General features: G+C 35.6%; 1 protein-coding gene across 33 annotated transcripts in view; it reads right to left on the bottom strand.

Annotated features, from left to right (window-relative positions):
* Positions 1 to 26,261, bottom strand: part of NLGN1 (neuroligin 1) — an 898,421-nt gene that overhangs the window by 588,798 nt on the left and 283,362 nt on the right. Inside the window, exon 1 of one of the 33 annotated variants that reach the window (XM_005247237.4) lies at positions 19,784 to 21,374. The exons of the other annotated variants lie outside the window; for them this stretch is intronic. Within the exon in view, the coding sequence (XP_005247294.1) occupies positions 19,784 to 19,820 (37 nt within the window). The 5' untranslated portion in view covers positions 19,821 to 21,374. Of the gene's footprint in view, positions 1 to 19,783; positions 21,375 to 26,261 lie in introns of those variants that run through there. 33 annotated transcript variants of the gene reach the window in all.

Here is a 26,261-nt window from a genome sequence, read left to right as displayed (position 1 = left end):
TCAACAACATTTTAATTAGCCAATTTCTTACACAACTGTAAACGCTTCTTAGGATTTCAAAAATCTCAGGTGTGTTTCAAAGCAGCAATGTGTATTTTTACCTGTCTAACATCTATTACCCAGAAGGCAATCTGCCAGGTAACAAAAAGGTGTTTTCTTGGCCCTCCCTTATTTAGAGGAGGAATTTAGCAAAATAAAGACAGAAACTCAGAAAATAAACATCTCAGTACCATTGGTTCCTATGAAAATGTTTTACAATGACCTATTTCTTTATATCAAAAATGATGTACTACCCATAAGTAAATTTCTCTGTGGATCCTGCAAGTTCATATGACATTTTTTTCAAACATATCTTCAGGTTTGCCACAGGATGTAGGTCACAAATTCATCTACCTTCTAGTATTTCAGTTAAAAAAAAAATGTTTCCAAAGGAGATCAGTTGAAAAAAATATTGATTTGTACATGCATATGTTTAAGGCTGTCAGTGCCTTTTTGGGAGTGATAATATTTGACATTGTAGATCTGAATGAAGATGGCTTATCAACTGGAATGGCAAAAAGCCTATGCAAAGTAATTTTCCACTAAAGAAAATTGTCAAGATTGAAAGTACTGTGTTATTGATTACATGGTAGCAGGAGTATAGTTGCCTCAGAAAATGGTACCTGGCTAACATGTTGATGACACAGAGAGGATAAAACACTGTTAAATTTATGTCAAACAGAACAGTAGACAAATAGGATTTACTGTAACTTCATGTGAGAAGGTTGGAAAAGTGAACGCCAACCCCTAACCACAATTTGACAAACAGCTCCAAGGGAATGCAATTTATGAAAGTGTACTAACATATAAATGACAATCATTTTTATCATCATTAACTGATTAAGAATAATCTCACTGAGCTTTTCTGTGTCATGAAGAAGGCAAGTAGGCAGAGTGACCAAAATAATCCAGCCAATTTTTTCTACTATAATATGCAGTTCTCTCAAAATGATATTGAAACTTGCCACATTTTAGACAATACTTCTATCAGATCTCACCAGTTGGGTCTCTGACTAATCATACCAATTGAACTCTTTCAGAAATGAAACATTGATTTTTATAACTGTTATGAGCACTTTTGAAAAGTGTCTCTATTATTTACCTCACTGAGCAACAATAATTCCCAACTGACTGTGGGAAGCAAATAAATTATTCTGGTTGAAAAAAAATCCATACATACTGAAAGACTACAGCTTGGCCACCAATTTTGACCATCATTTTAAACAACGAAACTACCATGTCACTTAAGAGAATCGTTACAGACTTGTTCTATAATTGAGAACATAATTATTTTGGGGACAGTGTCAGACATTAGGACACACTTCTATGTGCCACACTTATAACAACTTTGTCTTCCCAGTTTATGCCTCCCAAACCAAGTAGTTTTTGCACTGGCTAACAATTAGTCTGTGTACTTGCAAGTAACTGAAGCTTCTGCATCTGCTACTGCAGGTAAAAAAAATAAAAGGCAGGCAATAACACAATATGTGTGTGATTTAAGGAACAGTTCCGCCACAGCCTCTAATTGCTCTCAGGATCTGAATTGGCAAAACCATAAGACATTCAACAAAAGGCTCCATGCAGGTAGGCCTATAAAACCTAATTATTTCTCACAAAGCAGACCATTCCATTTAAAATAAAAGAAAGCTATGAGCAATAAAGACCATGCCATTAACAATTAGTCTTCTGCACACATGATTAGACTCAGAGAGATAAAGAAGCCTCTAAATTTAATGACGAATCCCATATTTCTGGCGTGGTTCAATATTCTGTGCTAATTATGTTGAAAGACCTTGTGCTACTTAAAAGTACTTAGACTGCAAAGTATGACACTATCTCCATGGATTCACGGTTAACACTTAACATTTAACTTTGATATTAAAATACACTTGAATGTATGAATTCAGGAGTGACATTTTAATTATTTTTTGTTTCTTAAAATTATTTTTGGAAGCAATTTTAAGCTTTTGCCAACTGTAATATTTACTGATACTTATGTAATCCAGCATTTATAGGACTTAAAAACACAAACGTTAGTAAAACAGAGATTCTTATTTTAAGAAGAAGTTAAAATAAATAAAAAGTTCCCAGCAGTAAATAAAGCCAGTGTAAAAAGGAAGTTCAAATCAGGCAGCATTATCTGTTGATTACCAATTTTTAAAAATTATTTAAAATTAATGATGCAAAAGAAGACAAAATGAACCCATCAGGATCTAGGAAACAAACACTGATGTAGAATTTCTTTATTAAACTGAATTGCCATGCCTCTTTTAAGTAGAAAAGATTTGTTCTTTCACATAGCTTTGTACTAATTTGGTTCTATAAAGGGTACTTTCCTGCTAGCATGCAAATGTAACTTCGGTTAATATAAATGGAAGTTATCTCTACACCACAGCTGTGTGAAAGACCAAGGTTGAAGTTATTGGTAGTGTTTAATGTATAAGTTTAAAAAAAAAAAAAACTCTAGTAACATAATACCAACAAAAATTCTAGATTTATAAACCACACAGAGGAAACACTATCTTTGCCATTAGCATGGGATGGCTAGGGAAGATCTCATTTTCTGTTGGACTATATTTAATTCATAAATGTTTTATAGTCTTTGTGAAATAAAAGATAATACTATTGGCATTCAAGTAATATTGCTCAAAAAGAAAACCATTTTAATTTTATTTCTGAATGTGTGGAATAGAAAGATGAGTAAAAACAGTTTAAAGCTACAGGGAAGCGGAGGAGTCTTTTTTTCCTCCTAACTGCACAATAGTTAGTGTCTCCATAGAAACTGATGGCATCGCAGTGAAGTGTCATCCACAAACCTGGGCTTCTAAAATATACACAAGTATGTTTCCAAAGACATTGAAAAATACATGTATACATTCTTCCCCATAATAAAAGGCGATTATTATATCTTTGCAGAATAAGAGTAACAGCTCAAAATCATATGATGTTCTTTTAATAGAATAAAATTCTTTTTGATCATCATCTTATTCAAAGACAATACAGATTAAGAGGAAAAGTCCTTGCACATGATAAAGTCTTTACAGAACTTTGCTCCTTTAAGGTATTCTATTAATTAATTATAATTACATTTGTTTATGTTTGTCTTCCCAACAGGCACCATGAGCAAGGGCCATGTCTCATTGATTCACTACAGATCGCCTAGTCTGTAACTTAGCAGGACATACATAAATTCTTGTCGTGAAGTAACTCTTCCCTTTCTCTATCCCTTCATCCGCACACCCACTTTTACCCCATTTCTTATTACACTTGAAAACTCTTCTTTTTTTTTTTTTTTTTGAGACGGAGTCTCGCTCTGTCGCCCAGGCTGGAGTGCAGTGGCGGGATCTCGGCTCACTGCAAGCTCCGCCTCCCGGGTTCACGCCATTCTCCTGCCTCAGCCTCCCGAGTAGCTGGGACTACAGGCGCCCGCCACTACGCCCAGCTAATTTTTTGTATTTTTAGTAGAGACGGGGTTTCACCGTTTTAGCCGGGATGGTCTCGATCTCCTGACCTCGTGATCCACCCGCCTCGGCCTCCCAAAGTGCTGGGATTACAGGCGTGAGCCACCGCGCCCGGCCGAAAACTCTTCTTAAACATGACTTTTGTATGCAAATGTTTTTATACCATGAAACAAAGGCAGCACAGTAGAAATTAAATATCAGTGGTCTCAGAGCCTTGTGTAGCCCAATTCATCTCATCTCTATCACTAACTAGCTGTACTACCTTAAGCAAGTCATTTATCTCCACTGGCATTAGTTACTTAAGGGCAATGGGCTTGTATTATTTATATTCTAGCTCTGTTATTAGAAAAGGCATAAGCTTAAGGCTGTGTCTGAATCACTCTGTTCTAATTCAAACCTCAGAGTTTTGTATTTAAAATTGAAAAGTCAGATTAATAACTGTGTATTAGTTTCCTGTTAACAAATCACCACAAATTTAGTTGTTCAAAATACCAGAAATGTATTATCACACAGTCCTGGATGTGAGAAGTCCAAAATCAGCTTCATTGGGTTAAAATCAAAGTATTGCAGGGCTACATTATTTCTGGAGGCTCTATAAGAATGAGTTTCTTATCATTTGTGGCATCTAGATGCTGCTTACATGCCTTGGCTTGTGGCCTCATTACTCTGAGTTTTGCTTCCCTCATCACATTTCCTTCTCTGATTCTGAACCTCTTGCCTCCCTCTTACAAGGATTCCTGTGACTACACTGAGGCACCCAGATAATCCAGGATAATGTTCCCACTTGAAGATACGCTATAACATCTGTAAAGTTCCTTTTGCAATGCAGGCTAATATGTTCACAGAATATGGATATTTTTGGATGGTGAGGGGAACATTATTCTGCCTGTATGCTTCAGAAAAACTTTAGACCAACTTCAACAGCATTTTCCGGCACTTTTTTTTCAAGACGGAGTCTCGCTGTGTCACCCAGGCTGGAGTGCAGTGGGTGGCGAGATCTCAGCTTACTGCAAGCTCCACCTCCTGGGTTCACGCCATTCTCCTGCCTCAGCCTCCCGAGTAGCTGGGACTACAGGCGCCCGCCACCACGCCCAGCTAATTTTTTGTATTTTTAGTAGAGACAGGGTTTCACCGTGTTAGCCAGGATGGTCTCGATCTCCTGACCTTGTGATCCGCCCGCCTCGGCCTCCCAAAGTGCTGGGATTACAGGCTTGAGCCACCGTGCCCGGCCTTTCTGGCACTTTTATGAGGTCTAGAGCTTAAGAGTCCTATTAGCCTCTCTCAAACATACACATTAGCATTGTACTCTGGCTTCTACATAATTGTCTTGCCCTACCATATATCAGTTATAACACTGATAGAAGAAGTTTCACATTAAAAAATAAAATATGACAGAAATTAGATTCAAGTAATAGCTGGACATGAGAAACACAAATGCAGGTTTCTGCCTAAAGATGATGCATCAGAGAGCAGAAAACAGGCATTTAATTATGTGTAGATTCTACGCAGACTCCATGAAAATGTAACAGAAGTTCCACATTCAATACAAGGAACTCATTATGAAAACATAAACCACTACTGTTCAGCTTTCTTCATACAGTCTTAATGATGGAATTTATTTGTTTCTGCCTGTAGAGTACAAAGTACATTACAGTAATACAGAGACCTGAATACATCTTTTCTCACCTTGAGAAAGTTAGTAACCAAAGTTCACACAGATAACAAGGCAGTTTCTGTAAGATTTAATTAAAATGAACTAATCTGGCTCTTTTGATTGCTTTCAAAATTATCTTATATTTTTCCAAGAAACAGAATGGTATAAAAAGTAAGAAAATGGAGCATTTCTGCAGTAGTGATTAATATGAACGCATTTACAATAATTTTTGTAGATATACAATTAACAATAATATTTTAGTATATTTCCCAGGAGCCTGTGGTTTTTGGCATTTGGGGAATAGTTTTCATTCTGCTGATTTACTCCATTGCCCGTATCTTATCCAGTTACTTCCCAAAAGATAAATAACTAACTATGTGGAGTTTTGTCCTTGTGATGGGAAGAATGTAAATCTGCTCAGTTTGGTAGGTGAATTAGCTCTTTTCAGCCAAAGTTCCACTTAATAAATTATGCTCCAGTGCACTAAATAGTACCTCTGTGACCAGAAAAGTTCTCTTTTCTTTTTCTTTTTCTATCTTCCTCCTACCTCCCACTGGTGGGCAATTTTCTCCCCACTGGTGGGAGGGGAAAGCTCATTATTTGTGAGGTATTTTACAGTGTGTCTATTCACCAGTCCTCAAAAAATTACCTGCTGCTTCTCCTATACCTTTCTACATCCTTCCCCCTAAACCTTAAAACATAAAATACTCTCTGGATTTTATAATTCCCATTTTCAATAGTGAAAACCAGGAACTCAAGGCCACAAAGGCTACATGGTGACTCAGTACTGGAGAGAGGGATTTGGATCTGTGACTTTTAAAACTCCCATTCTGTTGCTTAGTTCACTGAGACAGGAAGCTTACATTTGTATTCACTGCAAGAACAACTTATTTCAAAGAATCCATGACAAAGCAGAACAGTTTTTACTGCTGTCCTGGAAAAATCAGGCCATTTGGCTGCCCTCATGACACATTTGAATAAGAATATCAGGTTAGAAATTTAGGTCAAAACAAACCAAGAGAGAAGAGCTTGACATATTTAACGTCAAGAATAGGCTAACATATTTAACGTCAAGTTGATTTTGGATTTGCCCTAAATTGTATGGATGTGCATTGTTAACCTGTATTGGTAACATTTAGTTTGTGTTCTTTTATTTTATGTTCAGGCTTGGTAAACCATATTAAAATTTGGGTTTTGAAATAACTGGTTTTGCCATGATTGAGGGGTAGATGAGGTCCTAGATTTTTGTTTTTTAAAACTTCTTGAGCCAGGTGCGGTGGCTCACGCTTGTAATCCCAGCATTTTGGGAGGCCTAGGTGGATGGATCACCTGTGGTCGGGAATTTGAGACCAGCCTGAACAACCTGGAGATAACGCGTCTCTACTAAAATTACAAAATTAGCTGGGCAAGGTGGCGCATGCGTGTAATCCCAGCTACTCGGGAGGCTGAGGCAGGAGAATCGCTTGAACCTGGGAGGTGGAGGTTGGGGTGAGCTGAGATCACGCCATTGTACTCCAGCCTCGGCAACAAGAGGGAAACTCCATCTCAAACAAACAAACAAACAACAAAAAAAATTCCTGTTTTCTAATTGCACAATACACAACATTTCTCACCATTTCATCACTGGCATTCTCTTAGCTCCAAATAGGCAGATAATGTCAAAAGAAAACAAAATAAAGGCTTTTTGAAATTAATCATTTATTCATTTGGGAAAGCTTCTCTTGTGTATGTATGGACAACAGAATTTTTTTCCATAAAATAGAAAAAAAATTATGTAGCAAACATGTTGCTCTTTGAAAACCAATTTTTTTGTATATTCCACGGGGCATAATATAGAGCAAGGTATATACTGAGAACTGAACAAATATGATGGCCAATGTACTCTATCATTTTAAAGCATTTTGCCACTAGTGGGTAAAGTCTTATGCATCAAAAGGGAATACGGTTGTTCCACTAGTAGAAGGCGCATAAATGCATCAGACGACCAGAAGCCATTTAATGAAATGGTTTAGGTGGTCTGTTATCTCTCATCAGTGAAAGAATGGGTATTTGAAAGAAGACTACCTGAGTGCTGATTCTGTTTTCATATGGCATAAAAAAAATCTTCGATTTGATAATTCAGTATTGCAACGTGATGCCCTTCTTTCCTGGATTTCTAATTCTTGGAAAAAATACCATAAGCATTATCATCAAATTCATTTATTGAGTGTCTAATAGTTGCAGAATAAATAAACTACAAACCTTCACAAATCAGTGAACAACATCTTCTGCAACAGAACAGTGATTTTCCTAAGGATTTATGATCCTAATGAACTAGAACATGGGAAAAAGTTTTTAAGCTATCTTGAAATAAAGCATATATAAATAAGTTTGTTTTTTTTTTTTTTCATTTTTTAAGCTTTGTCCTTATGCGTTTAGGCCACTGGTTACCATCCACTGCAATGGAAAAAACATTTACAAAATGGCCCCAATAATCTAAAAAAATTAATGTATTACTAAAAAGTGCACATTTACCCTCTAATCACAGAGAGGGTCTGACCTATAAAGGGGAATAGTAATAAAAATAATATTAGATTGAAAATCTTTCTCTCGGCCAGATGCAGTGGCTCACGCCTGTAATCCCAGTACTTTGGGAGGCCGAGGCGGGTGGATCACCTGAGGTCAGGAGTTCGAGACCAGCCTGACCAACACAGAGACACCCCATCTCTACAAAAAACAATACAAAATTAGCCGGGCTTGGTGGTGCATGCTTGTAATCCCAGCTACTCAGGAGGCTGAGGCAGGAGAATCACTTGAACCCGGGAGGCAGAGGTTGCGGTGAGCTGAGATCGCACCATTGCACTCCAGCCTGGGCAACAAGAGCGAAACTCAGTCTAAAAAAAAAAGAAAATCTTTCTCTCTGTCCCTGTCACTCTAGCAAACAATATAGAAATTTGTATGTCCCTCTCTTAATGTTTTTAAAAATCCTTTCACAAAATCAGACAATGAAAAATAAAACTGGCCACTAATGTGCTTATTGTATCCATTTTCTTTATAAACAGATGTAGAAACTGAGACTTAGAAAGGTAAAGGTAGGGCAGATTGCCTAAGGAAACACAGCTTGGAAAATATGTAAAAAATAAATAAATAAATAAATAAACTTGAGTCCTGCTTTGACACACTCCCAAGCATATCCTTCTGACATGCTGTCATATTAACTCATCAGGTTGTTTTATGAGTATCTATGCAATGTGCCTGTAATTAAAACATGTATCTATATGTTAGTGAGTAGAAGGCAGCATAAAAACTGGAAAGAAACATTTAACTTTCACTAGGATCAAAGCTAATGTGGCAATACTACTTCTGATCATATTTTTAAAATGATGAGAAGGATAGCATTGTTAATAATAGGTAATAGCTATTATTACTCTCTGGCTTGCTCTATGGCTCTATCAGACTGCCCATTTTCAGAAGAGTCATAAATTTTTTCTTCATAAAAATCTGAATCTACTGTAGCAATATACTTCTATGAAACATACTACTCTGTTTAGGTGTTTACTCCATAATGTCTGCAGAACACCTTGTAGGTGAATACAAAAGACTGTGATGTAATTATGAAAAAGTGTGGCTAGTTCATAGAAATTTACACTTTCTTGTATATGTAGGGCAACATTTTTATGTGGTTAAAACTCATAAGAAACAAACAAAAACAAGCCCGACTAATGTTCTTTCAATTGTCAATGACCATATTCTTCTTAGAGAAAAGAAAGAAAAGGAAGGTGAAGGAGAGAAAAGAAGTATGAAGTAAACAGAGTTGTCTTCCCAGTGCTCTCTTCCATTTTCTAGAAATTTTAGTCTACTCCTTCCTCAACGATGCTTACCATATAACTCTTCAATGTTCAGAATGATTTCATTATTGGGCCACAGATGATTGGCTCAGCAATGGGCTGGATCTCTTGATTCAACAAGAGGGCCACTCATAGTCCCTTTTCAAGGTTTAGAAAACTGGAGCTGAGAAAAAAAAGTCTCTTGGTAGCTATACCTATAAAACATAAAACTAGGGATCTAAAACATAGCCATTTTCCCACTATGCTACAAGGAGAAGTTAGAGTGCTAAGGTAGACATTGGAGTCAAGAAGCCAAGACAAGCAGAAATAAAAATCAAAAGAGAATGTTGTCAGTATTTAAACCTTCGGAGGGCAAAATCCTCCTGTCACACATTTATATTGTTCACTCTTTTCTTGAATTGTATATTCTAATAGATTTCCATTTTTAGTCAACTTAGTTGGAACTTAGTTTCTTCACAGGTACCATAAAGAATTATAAATAAGGCCAGGCTCAGTGGTTCACACTTGTAATCTTCACACTTTGAGAGGCAAAGGTGGGAGAGTTGCTTGAGCTCAGGAGTTAAAGACAAGCCGGGGAAACATGGTGAAACCCTGTCTCTACAAAAAATACAAAAATTAGCCAGACATGGTGGCTCACACCTGTAGTCTCAGCTACTCAGGAGGCTGACATTGGAGGATCTGCTTAAGCCCAGGAGGTCGAGGCTGCAGTGAGCCATGATAGCACCAATATATGCTGGGCACAGTGCCAGGCACTTCACAAACTTTCTCTAATGTTCACAGACATTCCATGATATGAGTATTATTCTTCACACTTTATAGATAGAAAAACTAAATTGTGCAAAGTTTTATTTCAAGAAGTGATCGTAATAAGGTTGAGTTATGCTTGTGGATATGCTTCTTACATTACTGGTTTGGCAAAAAGCTGTGGACTTTTATAAGTCCACAGTATAAGATTTTTAAAGTATAAGATGTTTAAAAACAAAAACAAAATAGAAACAAAATATTTAATAGTTAGCATGCTAGTATAGTGTAAGAGGCACTGAAAAATAGTAAGATAAAAAATTTGAATATATGGTCTAGTTTTATAAATAAAATTTTATTAATGACTCAGAATAAATGGATTGAAAAAAAAATCCTAAGTATGAACATATATATCCTTGTGGATGCACTATTCTTTGAGGAGAATTTTGTGGATCAGTCTGGAAACCTAATTATCTTTTCCTACATAAAAATGTTTTGTTTTTTATTTTCAAGCTACCTATTAACAAATGGATTTTAGAAGACAACTACTTTGAAACATGGGGACTGACTGTATTAATAATGTTTGGTTGTTAGAATATTTAACAGTACAGAATCATGTCTTCAAAGTACTTCTGGACACTGAAGGTAGCTATTCTTCTCTTTTTCTCTTGAAAAAGTATTTTTTTTAAATGAAGTATTTATTAGCAACTTTATTTAGGCCATAAAATATGGGATTTTTAAAAAAATGACTAATTTTAACACCCAGCTGGAAGCCTTTGACTGTCAGGCTCAACATATATAGCTAAAAGTCTCTGGAAAAGCCTCAGATACTGAAAGTCTCAATACAATTACTGGAAAAGTCAAAGCAAATAAAGATAAATGCAGAATTTATTAATGAAATCTGAAAGTTACTCACACCTCAACTATGTGTCCACACTTCAGTGGAGGGCTGGTAGTGGGCCATATTTTTCTTCTCCCTCTTTGAAATTCATTTTCTGCTAATATTGTTTGCTGTGGTTGTGCACATGCTGCATGTCATGTGTCTTGTCACAGTCAATAAAAGGCAACACAAAATTGCACATGTGAGTAATATTCCAATCAGGACCATTGCATAGAAGTGCTGTAAGCCCTAGGCTTATAATCTCATATTTCAATTTACAATGAAGGCTGGAATCTACCAGGTAAGTAATATTTTCAATGGTACCTATGAAAAAATGACAAGTTTTCATTCTGGATATGAGGAGCTATGCACAAAAACATGTTTCATTTACCCTACTGTACATTCTGACAAACAAACAAAATCTTATTCAGTTTTGCTTCTTTTTATCACACAAGGCAATATGAGAGAAAAATGTGTTCTGTTGAATCAGTTTGTACCTCAATATATTTGAAATCCTAGATAATGTACACGTCAGTAGGTCCCAATGAACCAAACATAATGAAACATTAAATGGGCCTTTATCATTGTTCACAAGCTTTCAACACCGCACTTGGCCCTCAAGTGTCCAAACAATTTTCAGTTAGTTTTGCACCTCTACATTACATAATGTTTTATTTGTGCTCATCTTGTCATATCTTGTTCCAGACTGCTCAGAGTGCATCACTGACTTAAACATACAGAAGAAATATAATTCAAAATTGACCTTATTTATTTCAGAAGACAAAGAGAGAGAGAAAAAAACAGAGTTTCACAACTTTGACCAGCAACAAGCAATATAAATCATACAAAATCACTAACAGAGCTGGTCGGTCTCATTGCTCTCTCTTTGTTGATACTTTGGGATTCAGTTTCCTCTGGGTTCTCATACTTTTTAAGGACTGTTTTCTTCCTATTATTTTCTTATACTTTCCTTTTATTTCTTCCTATTCTCAGCAGTGTATTGTCCTTAAATGTGTTATTTTATACTTTCCCTAAAATTTTAATTTGTAGCATGAATTAAACTAATATCTGTGTATTAATAGTTTATAAACACCTTAATATTATTTTCCAATTCACTATCCTCAACTTTCTCCAAAAATGTTAGTTCTGGATACTTCAGCGACCCAAAATAACACAAAAAACTTACATTGTTACCTTTTAAAGAAAATTAACCTTCTTTTTTATTTTTCATTCTTCTGAACACCATTTCCTGTTTTTTTGTTCATTATTTTCTGCACCATTCTCCCAAACATTATCTATTTGTTAGTCTGCTGTATAGCCAATATTAGAATAAAAACATCTCTAATTCATGCTACTAAATTTAGGAGAGTGAATGCCAATATAAGTTAAAATTCTAATACAAGAAGAATATAAGCAGGTTGTCAAGTGTGATACTTAGTAAAGAAAATTCTCTTCAATGAATAGATAATTTTAATTTATAAATACTCTATTAATACTTTAAGTAACTTCTTATGTTTGAAGGTATTGGTAAAGTTTTAGCTTTTTCACACATGCTCCATTATTCTCCATTGTTTTCTACTCTCACATGTTACATATTTATGCTACCTCCCTATTCATGAAGGAATTTGCAATAATAGTATTTGCTTTCCATAGTTGGTAAGTAAATTTTATTTCAGTCCCTCCTTTAACTTCACAATTAAAAAAAAATTCTGGTGTTCCGAAATACATGAAGGACTAACTTTATAGAAGGTGCACATCAAAACACTTCCTTCAATACCAGAAGATCCCCAGCATTTTATCTTATTCTGCTTTGAGATGTCAGAATCACTTGCTCTGTTATTTTTCCACAAAATTACCTTACAAAGATTCCTTAACCAACTTATTATAACTCTAGTTTTTACCTTCACTTGTAGTGTACTCTTGAGGTAATCAAGTAACAAATCTCTTTAGGCCACCAATTTGAACCATGCAAAATAGCAAGGATACTTGGTATGATTGAAACGTCTCACTGGTGGAGAAATGGTTTGTGTGCTCAGCTCTATCTGACATCAGGCATGCGCTTTTGACTCTATATAGTACCTGTTAATGGGAAAGTGACCCCTCCTTATTTCCATCAGTGTTCTTTCCAATGCATTTAACCCTGTTCACAGAGACTATTCTCATGATGTATTCTGAGGATTAGAGGTAATGCAGCTAAAGACTTCTAAGTATATTGCAAAAAAGTTAGCTTTTAAGTATAACGTATTATCATTTTAGTTCATATTAATTCAAGCAGCTCACCTTTGCCTTCAGGGTTCTGTAGCCTTCTGCGTACTTCCAAATTGTAGCTATCAAACACATTTCTAAAATACTCAATATAAACACTAAAGTAGTATGTTACCAAGGATTTTCATCACCCACTGCAGGTATTAGATAAGTCCAATCTTACCTCTGTACTTTAGAAAAATGTAGTTGAAAAAGTCATATTTTGCATTTATATAGTATTTTCTATGTTCAAAGACATAACTGATTATTTGCTTTATTATATCGCGGTCACATAACATTTAGGGCTATAGAGACACTTATCAGTTAATCCTCATGCCACAAATGTGAATAGATCACTGACTTTTTAATTGAATAAAAACTTCTTCACACAGAAAAGTGATAACTGCCAAACAAGGTTTAAAGTTTACTGCTTTTATATCTGAGGAGACGGTGACTACATAAGTAAGCGATGTCATAACATCTACCAGCAGAATAATTAATAACAGAGCAATTTCCTTTTTAAACACTAGTGGGCTTAACAAAATATTGATTTCCAGTTGAGAATGCCTTATGTCTAACAAGTAAATGAAAAGAGAATTATAATGATGCTATATTTTGATTTAATTAGTATATTGAATTTTATTTCCTGGTAACTGCTACGTGAAAAATAAATCTTCTATTATTTTCTGACCTATTAAATCCACAACATTCAAGATACCACGTGTACCTTAGTGCAATAAAATTAATTTTGTATTCTTTTATAAAGAGATGCATTGTGCAGTCAATTTTTAGCTTTCAAATGACTAAAGTCCTTCCACAGATGGGAATTTAATGTGTATTCTCAGTCACCACCCATAAGCCAATATTTTTTTTCCAAAAATCTTTAGTAGTAAAAACATTTCACTTAAAGAAAATATTTGTTGCCGTTGTTTCATTTTCTTTGGTTTTGGAAGCTGTTCAGTAACATTTAGAAGCAAGTACAGTCAGTATCATATAGAATCCAACTAGATAACACCACTGACAGAAAAAAACGTGATGCAAGCCCTTGGTACTGACTTCATATATGATCTCAACACAAGCTCTAGGCAGGACCTCTAAGGTCTCTCCTAACTCTTAAACGTTATCTCTGAGTTGATATTTGGGTTATAAGTTATCCCACTTTAAGACACGTATTAAACACACATGAACCTAGATGAATGCTAAATGGAGTACACAAAAACATAATATAAAGTCGCTGGCTTCAAAGATTTTATTTTCCTTATGATGTAAATAAGAATCTGCAGCTACTGAACAAAACTGTATTTTAGAAAATCTTTTAAAGAGCCTATTATAAATTAAGAAGAGAGAATTCAGAAGGATATTAATTTTGTAGTAAAAGCAATAAATGCAGAGGATGGAGAAACAGAGAGACAGAAAGAGAGAGAGAACGCATTGGCTTGAATCATTGGAAAAGCTTCAGAGACAGAGGGATATGAATTAAGCCTTGAAGAAATGGGCTAAAGAGGGGTTTGGAGAAAAGGAAATCTTCCAGATGGGAAAACAGCATGAGCAAAGGACAGGAGTAGGAGTATTCCCTAAATGTTATTTCAAGTTCCCCCTCTTAGAAGCCAACAATGACTACCAATCATTCCTTGAATATAATTCAGACTCCTAATCACAAGCTTCAAAGCTTCCACTCCTCCATCTCCCGGAATCCCCAGTTAATATTTCGTCAGGTATATCAACTTAATATATTCTACCTAGAACTGTGTTCACCCTTCTACAACTTCTGCAATTTTTACAGCTTCTCCTAAGGCACTTTCCGTAAGGCACCACAACCTGTTCATCCTGTACTCCAAAAACGGTTTAAACTCAAGTCTTTCTGCCTTTGGCTTCTTTCCCTAACCACACTTGGCTCTGATCTCTCCATACAAACTATAATTAGTCACATATCTATGTATCTTGCACTTTTTATCTTTTTAAAAAATCTATGCCTCGTTGTGCATTTATTCTTATATGCAGTCAGTGCTGCTGTAAACGGAAGCAGAAACTATGTTCTTCATTAACTTGATTACAGATTACCAAGGTCCATGAATCATTCATACACTAAGAGCTTCTACGGAATCTGACATCATGGACTTTCATTACATAATTCATGTATTTGTTCACCAAATATTTACTGATAACTGTGAGCAAAGCACTATACATATTTATAGTATATATTATTTGCCCCACAAAAAGATTTCAACTTAGTGAGAAACCAAACAGTAATTCAGGCAGTATGTGAAAAATGCCACAGAAGGTAATAGCAAGAGCTGACAGCTTATTTCTAGATGTGGTCATTATAGTTGGAATCATAAATAAGGAGGTGTCTAGGCAGGAATAAAAATTATAATGCCTAGAAGTGAGAGTAAATGGCATCCTAGGAATGAGAAACAAAAAGTTTAAAGGTATAGAATATGTAAGTCATGATGTTGTGGTCAGCAGTCCTCTTCACTTGAGTAGAGACTTTTAAAAAATGTTTTAGCACAATATTTAATACAAGCCGTTCTAACCTGAATCCACGCCAAGACCATTAGTTCATTTTCTTTTTTAAGTGTCGCCTATAAAATGGGCTCACTCAGTAAGGATTCTGGAGTCCTGCTACCACTTTTGACTGTCAGTAAGTAAATGATTAATATTCGGAAAATTCTAAGTCTCAGTTTCTTCAAATATAAACAAAAGACTAGAATCACTCAATCTCTTCAAACTTCCCTATATTCGTTACCTTAATGTTATGTTTACTTTTTTCATAACACTAATCCCCCACTTATTTTTTTATTTATCTGACCCCCATTCCTCATGAATAGAACATGGGCTCCATAGAAGTAAGGGATCATGTCTATCCTCTCCACTATTGCATCCCCTATTTCTAGTTTATTTTGAAAATTACTGAAGTGCTTTCCTTCTTTGCATTTTTGAGAACAGGATTTTTATTGTAGTTCATCCAAGGTACCTAATTGAATGGGGCAAGGTAGAGTGGGAGGATCTGGATTCGTTACAGATAGAATGAAAAATAATTCAAGATAAAATTCAGCTTGTAATACACAAAATATGATTTTGCAGCGCATGGGAGCCTTGCAAACCAGGCCATTATCTTGAGGAATCTTGTCAAAATTCCTTTGGCTCCTTCTTTAGGGTAACAAAGGTCAGATTTAATAGTGCCTACAGGAAAAGACTGTGGGGTCAAATGCCATTTTCTCTTTCTGATCTCAGAGAATTTTGGGAGGTGGAAAGAAAAGTTGAAGAGCCATTTCAGCAGGGGTGTGTTCAGATTTGTCCAGCAGATAGGGAGGGGCATTAGGGAAGTCAGAGGAACTCTACAAGCAGATTGGGGCTGCCTCCTCCATTACCCAAGTCTCTGTAACTTCCCAGGGGAAGCCTCCTTACAAGATACCTCACACAGTCTTGTGACAAGAGCAATCTCATACCCTTAGAAGCAAAAGTAGTCAGAGGGGGTGATGTTGGGTTTGATTTCGCCATGCTGCAAGCACAGTCCCACATGTCCAGGATATTGAGTTGAGAACAAGCAGGGCAGTAGTACAGTCCACCAGCATAATCTAGAGGAATACTTTAGAGGCTGGAGGTGACTCAGGACATAAAGGAAGGTCTGACTTTTATGGAGCCAAATGGGACCAAGGCAGCCAGTAAGAGCAGATCTGGGTCTACCAGAGTAGGACATAAATGACATTAGCGGCAGATGTTAGCCATAAATTATTAGTACACCCAAATGGAAGGTGACTAAATGCAGACACTAAATGTGACAACAGGATGCCAAAACAGAAAAACCCAACTTTTTGACAGTCTCATATGTAACTCCCTTCCCCAATACTCCTTGGCACCATTTTAATGAAAGAAAAGAAAATTGGAGGAGGTATTTTTTTAGAAATTAGCAATTTTGTCCATGACATTTTGAAGACTAATTTTGAATGCTGACTACAAGAACTATTTTATCATATTATACCTAAGCTTGAAAACATATTGGGATGCTCAGTTAATTTTTATCCAATAGGAGAAAGCAAGATTAGTTTTCTTATACATCCAGTTGAAGTAAGAGACCACGTGACTTGCCTGTGGTATCTTTAATAACGTAGTGTCTGCCATGTGTTTAGTGTTTGATAAACAGCTTTATTTTAATGACTGAGACAGTAACAGGGCTCTCTCAATGGCTATATTATTTGATTCCAGTGTATTGCTATGATTAAAAAGAAAATGTGAATGACCTTTTTAGTCGCTCTCCACTGCCCAAGCACACAGCACTCAGAGGAATACAAAGTCCTAAGAAAAACAGCATTGTTTTAGGAGGCCAAAACTCAAAGCCTAATGACTCATTAACTTTGTGTAAGCTTACTGAAACTTACTTCCCTTAGGACAGCAAATGAAATAAGAGGATTCCATTGCATCCTCAGGAGCCATTAGCAAATCCTTGTGTCACTATTTAAGAAAATCTCCATAATAGAATTGATAACACTCACAATTGGCTTAACGGTTTACAAAGCATGTTCACATACACCATGTCATACGACTCACAAGTAGGAAGAACATGCAGTAGCATTAAATATTTGAAAAAATGCCTTTGAAAAGGCACATGACCAGCAGTATCTCATCATCAGACATAGTCTAGGTCTACAACTCAACTGAATACATACAATTTTGTGTATGAACTGCAGAATGTCCATTATATCAGGCATTTGAAACACTAGTATGCCTTATTATTACCTTCTGACCATTCTGTTTAATTTTAGACCTTTCTTAGAGAACTAGTATTTCCTGAAATTAACTGAGATTTTAAAACGTGGTATTCTAGTACAGAGCAACAGTTCTTGCCTACAGTGGCTGTGTTCCTTAGAATGTCTTTTGTTCACTTTTTAATTTGGGAGGCTCTTTCATTGATTGTCTGGAAATACTTGCTAGCTGTTCTGCATTCAAGAAACATTCCTGTAGAGTGAAGAATTATCCTACATCTGACACAACTTTCAAAGACCTTGCTGGACATACATATATAAGTGAAATAAATATGTATAGTTATCTGAGCTGATGACATCGACAACTCCTTTTCACATATCAATATTTAAACATTTTATTTTTCTCACTTTTTAGTATAAATATAAATTCTCCCAAAATACAACTGTTTTATAAGTCCAGAGACATTTTTATTTTATTTTTCACAATTGTATCAAGAGTAAGTTACCATTTAGGAAAATCAGGTGACTGACAGCAGGGCTGCTCCTACTATTTGAGTCCCCAACAAAGCACACCTGTATCTGTCTGCCTTTTAGCTATTTAGTGATTCTATGTATAGGCATAAGCATCTGACTATTTTATCCATCTTCTAGTGAAGCCATACCCACGCATGTACATAATAAGGTCTATATCATTTTAAAATTACTTTTAAAAATCACATGTGTGGGTAGAGAATATTATCCATTAGCTTCATTTTAGTAAAATGTGCATTATAAAAGATTTTACACAAAGGAGTTACTGAGTCTATTTTATTGAGAACCACTGTTACAGGAGAATCCAACTCGGTTCTACAAACATAGGGTTAAGTCCAGAATTTAAGGTAAACAACCTGATCGTGGATTCCATTTGGAGTTTCTTTACAAGCACAGCAAAACCCAACATGCAGACTACTACTGTCCCAGTGCTACACACTTTCCAACCCACAGTAACCACTCCTCCTGGATACTTGTTCCCATACCACACACAATTCAGATTTCAAAAGAGGTTCACAAGTATCTTTTTTTTTTTTGTCTTTGGGACGGAGTCTTGCTCTGTCACCTGGGCTGGAGTGCAATGGCGTGATCTCGGCTCACTGCAATCTCCACCTGCCGGGTTCAAGCAATTCTCCTGCCTCAGCCTCCTGAGTAGCTGGAATTACAGGCGCCTGCCACCACACCCCGCTAATTTTTGTATTTTTAGTAGAGATGGGGTTTCACCATGTTGGCCAGGCTGGTCTTGAACTCCTAACCTCGTGATCTGCCTGCCTCGGCCTCCCAAAGTGCTGGGATTATAGGTGTGAGCCACTGCACCCAGCCATGAGTGTCTATTTATACACAGGATGTTGGAGTAGGTTATGGATCTTGTCTATATGGCTGGGGGAAGCATGGATAAGCAATAGCATGCCTATGATTAGAAGCTGGGAAACATTTACATAGTAATGACAATAAAATTAACCACCCTTAAAAATCCTCAGAGAGCAAAGTTTGATTAGATCACCAGGAAACATCATTTCCCTTATTTTCTTCCCATTAGAGTCAGTCCCAGAATTCAAAAACTTTGATACAGTAATTCTAATTTAAGGAGAAGTATAATAAAATCAAAATGAAGTTAAAACCCCCTTTTGAAAATGAAAAAAAGAGAGGAAGTAAAAGAAATTTTTACTTATTAAACAGTTGGGGTAATTTTATTTTGTTTCTGTTTTGATTTTTTTTTTTTTTAGTCAAGCGCTTTGCGTTTGCTTTCTCATCTTAGTACAATATTAAGAGAACTCTGAATTCAACAACTGAAGAATAAGCTAAAATGTCTCCACTTTCACAGTTATCTCAATATTGCTGAGATTATGCTATGAAAAATCAATTGTGTACTGTGACCAAAATAACAAGTTCTTGCCTTGGGTTTTAACTCAATGTATTTCCTTTAAAATGTTTTAAAATTTAAAAATAGTTGTTAGCCACCTTCCCAAATGAGCATGGTTAATGATTGCTAGACTCTGCCATGCCTTTTCTTCTCCCTCTTCCCTTTACCCTTCTTGTAGCTTGATATAGTCCACGTACTCCCACATCATAAATTCAGGTTTTAATCTTCTCAATCAAGTGAAAGAAGTATTAATTTTATTTTAATTGTAAGAGGACATCTGATGTTGAAGAATAGTAAATGATATCTCCATATTCACATTCAACCCTCTCATTGTGCTTACCTTTTTGACACAGCACATACAAAAAGCCCCAGCACATGCTTCAGAGTCACACTGGATCACCCAATCTTGGTACTCTTGGGATCATTTACCAAACTTCCTGGATTTGAGTCCTTACATGACATAGCTATCTTTCCGCCCTAACAACTTAGAGCTCACCATCTTAAATCATTGACTTCCAGCCTATCTCTGATAACTGAACTTTAATAACCTCTTTTCCTGGGATTTGATGACTGCCTGGCAGCCCTTGTTCTATGCAGGGGCTGAGGTACAACAGTGGTAACTATTAACTTAAGGCCTCGAAAATCACCCAGCAATATTGTTTAAGTAGGAATCATGGGAGCATTTTTATAACAGTGTTTAGGACAGTTCAAATTATTGATGCATTTAAAACACGTTTAGCTCTTAATTTTCATAAGATACTAGTAACCTCAACCCTCATAGCTCATAAAACCTGGGAATATGTCTTAACCATACATAAAGAATGATTTGAATCTGTTCTTTTCTTGTCCACAGGGCTTCTAATGATTTTGTCTCATAATTACTAATGACCAATAAGTTTCATTTTGTGTCTATTGTAATATTGGGAGCAACTTATTTAAATTGATTTTCAACTGGAGCAACTACTCGGCATCCTGTAATTATTGTTAACGTAACACAAACCATGCATTATTAAATGAGTTTCCATTATTAAAGACAAAGGCCATTAAATGGTCTAATAAGGAGGGCTTAACATAATGCTAAGAATCATCTGGTGCCATACCGGGCATAGAGGATTCAACTGGTGGCACACATTAAAATCTATCAGTACGAAATAATATATTATCTACATGCAAAAGAACTCTATTAAAAACAATAATTTATGAATTATCAGAAGTAGAGCAAGGATTATTTACCTTTAAAGGCTTTTGTAATAACACTCCACTGTTATGTATTAATTTTTAAAATAGCTTAGTTATAATTTTAACTGCTAAGGTCAGGAAAATATTAAATTGGGATGAATATACAGTTAATTCAACTAAAGTACAACTTTCAAGCTTCAAATATTTTCATCATGAAACACTTCATGTAAATTCTCAATATGTAATTTGAACACAAACAAAAAAAGTGAACAATAACCTGATTCAGTGACTGACATTTCCAATATGATGTAAATTGGACGTCACATGAGCTTAGAGATGTAGTGGGACCACTTCAACACATTTTAAAAATTGGGTTCTTTGAACATCACAAGCATGTTTTCCTTTGGTCTAGTTTTTCAAAGCCCAGATATGTAGAAAGCTAATGGCCTATAAGTAAATTAGAGCAATGGACATCTTTTACGTCTATTACCCAGGTACACTTCAGCCTCATAGTATCATAAAGATATGCACACTACTTAAGTTCTGACTTTTAAACTTCATATTTATCCTTGACAAATGTGTTTCATCTATTTATGGAGCTCAAAGTAAAAAGGCACTGTAGAGGCAAATCAGTCTGTTTAAAACACATGCTGCTGGAAAGGTATATAGAAGTGAAGTCTTTAAAAATCAAGTCATATCTTTAATGACACTAGAATTTAAAAAAAGGGTTCTATTTAAAAAAACTTACTGTGTCTTCAAAAGCAAATGATTTTTTTTGAAAAGTTAATAATCACTTCAAATTATTTTCTGTTTTGGCATGTTTGAATTTCAATATACTAAATAAAATAAGGTACACTTGTTATATACAATTAAGTAATAATAACAATATACTTTTGTTTACTGTGAACTGTTTACACAGTTTACTGTGTAAATTGTTTACTATGTAAATCATAATCATATAATGATATATGATTTGTTTACTGTGATTAAAGATAGCTTTGGCTTTGGAATCAGCTGGATCTGTGCTAAAATCAAGTCCAACAGCCATTTCCCAGCATGTGACTTGGCCTCACCCTCTGTTTTTTTATCTGCAAAATGGTGACAATATGCATCTGTTTGGGTTGAAATGATGTTTACATTTGAAAACATATGCAAAGCACGAAGCACTATACCTGACCCACCCTTCCACACTTCACAGTTTATCATCTGTTTCATATACATTATCTTATTTGATCGTATCAACTAAGTGAAAGGAATTACTTGTGTTTTAATTATGTGGATGGGTTCTGAAGTAAAGTAAGAATAAATAATTTTCTCACAGTAAATGCTTAACTTGAAATTAAGTAATTAGATGTTTTTGATTACCATGGGAATAGGGAATGAGAGAAAGAGGGTAAAAAAACCATATTTTGAGTTACTACCTCAAATCCAGTCTTTTCTCTAATTTACACATCTCAGCAATAGTTGTTGTTCTGTCACTTGGAGATCCCCCAATATGTAGTCAGTTCCATATCCTCAGTAGTGACAGGCTGAGGAGAGCTTAGTGGGATCTGGGGGAATTTCAACTCTATTTCCCAGAAAGATAATACCAGCACTCACTAAAAGCAGTGTTTTCAAACACACAGTGCATGAAGCAGTATTTATGCCATGGGGGGAAGAGGAAGAGGAAGGAAGGAGGACTTGAAATGTGTAGGAATGATAGTTTCTTCCACTGAGACAACAACGGGATAAAAATGAAAGCAAAGCAAATCAAATTAGATCTCTGTATTTTATAAGGAGCAAAAAATAGATTCTTATACATCATTTATAAATACATGCCAGCTGCATTTTAATACTAAATGGGAGAAAGAAATATTTAAATTTATTTTTTAAAACTAACCACAAAAATGCACGCTGTATACAGAATGTCCTATGATGAAAAGCACGGTTTTAATAACTTTTAACAGTTGCAAAACCAGCAACTTACATGACAATTTAATAAAAATCTCTAAATAGTCTCTCATGCTGGAGTAAACTCCTTACATTACAATAGCTTTGGTGGCTTTCTTCAACTAAAGAGATATCTAAATTTGATATGAACCTCAGGTTTCAACATCCATGATTTGCTAGTATATAATTCATTGACACCTCAGGTAACAATTTAAAAGACTTGACCCATTTATGCCTGGTGTTCCATTATTGGAACACTAAGCATGTGGGAGTTATTTATATCCTACTGCTCAAGGTCATCGCCAAGGTCTGATTGCAAAAATTCACAAAATTCCAACCTCAGGCATAATGGGTTAACCCAATTATTTAAGTTCTTAGGTATGGAAAATCATGGCTTATGTAGTAATACCTTTTTTTTTTTTTTTTTTTTTTTTTGAGACAGTGTCTCACTCTGTCACCCAGGCTGGAGTGCAGTGGTGCAATCTCGGCTCATTGCAACCTCCACCTCCTGGGTTCAAGCGATTCTCCTGCCTCAGCCTCCTGAGTAGTTGGGACTACAGGCATGTGCCACCATACCCGGCTAATTTTTTGTATTTTTAGTACAGATGGGGTTTCACCATGTTAGCCAGGATGGTCTCGATCTCTTGACCTCGTGATCCACCCTCTTCAGCCTTCCAAAGTGCTGGGATTACAGGCGTGAGCCACCGTGCCCAGCCACCTATTGTCTTTATAGATGGGCAAAGACAACTTCATAAAGGCAATATTTGTATGAAAAATTTGAAAATAATAACAATAGTTATTATTTCTTGAATTTAGTCACTAAATGAAGTGTTGTACATAAACTCTTTCATATAATTCTTTCAAAACTCAATGATGTGGGCACTACTATTATTCTCACCTTTTCTTAAAAATGAGAAAAAAGACAAGGGAGTAAAGACAAATTACCCACAGAAAAACACTAGTAAATGGCATACTCATGATCGAATCAGTTCTAACACATTTCACAGCCTATTTTCCTACTAAATAAAGCTCACACTGTCAATTCTTAGTAAGTTAGTTTCACAAATCTCAGAATCCTTTAAAAATATTATGTTTAAGTGTTTTAGAAATAAGGAGGTTGACTAGGGTAGTTAAATGAATTCCCCAAACCATCAACAGAAGTACAATAAGAAGAAATTATTGAGCATTTATTAGCACTGTATTGATGGCATCATATGACTACACATTCAATTTGATAATATCCCTGTGAGGGGGGTTACTGTCTGTTCAGTATTCTTATGGTCAGTGAAGGAACACGGTGCAGAGAGCTTAAGTAACCTGCCCAATTGTATACCTAGTAAGTAGTTACTAGCAGTCTGAGTCTAGAGCCCAAGTGCTTAATCAGGGCCAAAAATATGTCTTACTCTGAGAGTTCCCCATAAAAACAGTACCAGGAAGATGTGCAGATTTCTCCCTGAGGGGTAGGGAGTACACAATTGCAAACCTCAAGCACATCAGCCAGGGAGGTTTGGAGAGGCCAAGGATGGATTCATCATGTAGGCTCCAGAGGACTGACTGTCACAAAAATACCTACTTACAATTACTGATAACAGCTTGAGCCACAGAGATATATTATTTAGAGTGACAGCAAGGAAGCATCAGTGCAAATTCATCCTTGCCTTTAGAAGAGTGAGAACAGCTAACAGTCAATTATTATCCATCAAAACATCAATCTTCTATTCCTCTTTCACATCCAAACACTGACCGTAAGGTCATTTTGTTACCTTAGCTTGGAAAAAACATTTCATGTTTCTATTTCTTTACCATATTAAAAAAATAGTACTCTGAATATAAAACAACTTCTGCTTATCTTATCTCACTGGTCAGAAAATGCTGCATTTCTTTTGAAGAGAGTAGACTCAATCTATACAAAGTTAACAGTCAGTCCAATCATCATGCATTTGATAGCCTAAAAAATTTCAAATAAAATTATGTAGCTAAAATTCACTGTTAAACGTGTTGAAGGACATAGTTTTAACATGAAGCAAATGGGAAATCTTTAAAATTAATTATTATAGGGTTTTAAAAAAAATGTAGCCTGAAGCAGAAAGAAAATCTGACCCAGTTTTCCATGTCTCAAAATTCCAATTGCAAGGCATCACATTGCTTCAGTTGGAGCCAGAAAGGGTACATTTGCATTAGTTCTTTGTTCAGAACGTTCTGTTCTGCACCAAGAACTGAAACAAATAAATATTGTATATACCTCCCAAAGTTACTTCAGTTTCCATCCATGGTCCCTAGTGACTGAGGTTCAACTTGTCAACCAATGTCCTCTCCTTTAACTACATGTCATTAACACATTTCAAATGTATGCAGAAATATCATCATTGTCATAAAATGGTATTAATGAGCAAACACAAGAATCATAACCTTGTTCCATCTTGCTACTTGACACCCAGAGAATTAAAATTTAAACTGAATTTCGTTTTTTCAGAATTTTAAAAACTTGTCACCTTGATAACAAAGAGAATATTGTTTTAAAAACTGATGACTGGCTACACTTCAAATTAATTCAAAATTGCATTTTTATCTTCCAGTCTTTGCTTTTACCTTAGAATTTTCTAGAACTTGGCAGTGGTGATTTATAGGCATATAGATAATTTAAAAGTACATTTCTGATCATTCCTAAAAATGGCACCTCCTTCTTCAAATTATTACTGTTACCTTTGCACAAATTACATTATCAAGAAAAATAAGTAAGTGAAATACTTAATAAGGCTGCAGTATATTAACATAAATTAGCACAAAGCTCAGCATCTCATGAGTTTTAACTAAAATGCCTTCCACTATCCATACCACTACCCCGCTAAGAAACAAAACAAAATAAACTTTCAAAACCTCATTTTATTTTTTACAGAATAAAATATTTCTACCCTCATCTTCTTTTCTCTTTAGCCTTAACATATTCACTTTTCCAGAACATATTTCTCCATTCATTTATTTCTTTTTCTCCAGCCAAAATCATATGCACTTTTCAAGTACTGGTCCAATATTTTCTCTTCTGTAGAAGATTTCCTGATTTCTTTTCACAGTCATAATTAATTGTTTCCTTGGCATGAACTTTTCAAAGAACTTTTATCATAAAACATGCCATATTCTGTAGGACATAGAGGGGGTTTCCACGTCTCATTCATTGATGGCCATTGTCTAGTCATAAGCACATACAGTAGGTTTATCATGGTTAACAATTACCAAAATCAGATGCAGGGATTACTAAGATCAGACTCCAGGTATGTTCCTGGCATCTTACTTCAAAGTTCAAAATAGAATTAACTCACTCTTGAAAAAGTCTTTCCTTCCTGAGACCAATATTATTTTGCTGTAACACCCTCTACTCCATCCTTTCATCATTTCTTCAACTGACCTCCAGGTCATTTTACATTCATAGAGAAAATTAGCTCTTGGCGTATAGTCTACTTCTCCAACCTAACTCATGAAATGGTATTCAGCAATTCCAACACATGGAGATAACCTATCCAATTTTCTAGCTTCTCAGTCTTTTTTATCCCCTCCCCTGTAGAACATTTATCCCCAAATCACTTCAGCAACCCATTCATATAACCCGAATCTGTAGACTACCACATGACTCAGAATTAGTGCTGCCTGTAAAATCTTTACGCTATTTCAGCTCCTTCATTCCTTTATCTTTTCTGAAATCCTGGAACCTCTAA

The sequence above is a fragment of the Homo sapiens genome, chromosome 3 (assembly GCF_000001405.40).
Source record: "Homo sapiens chromosome 3, GRCh38.p14 Primary Assembly".
Classification (NCBI taxonomy): domain Eukaryota; kingdom Metazoa; phylum Chordata; class Mammalia; order Primates; family Hominidae; genus Homo; species Homo sapiens.
This window is presented reverse-complemented; position numbering and strand designations above follow the sequence as displayed.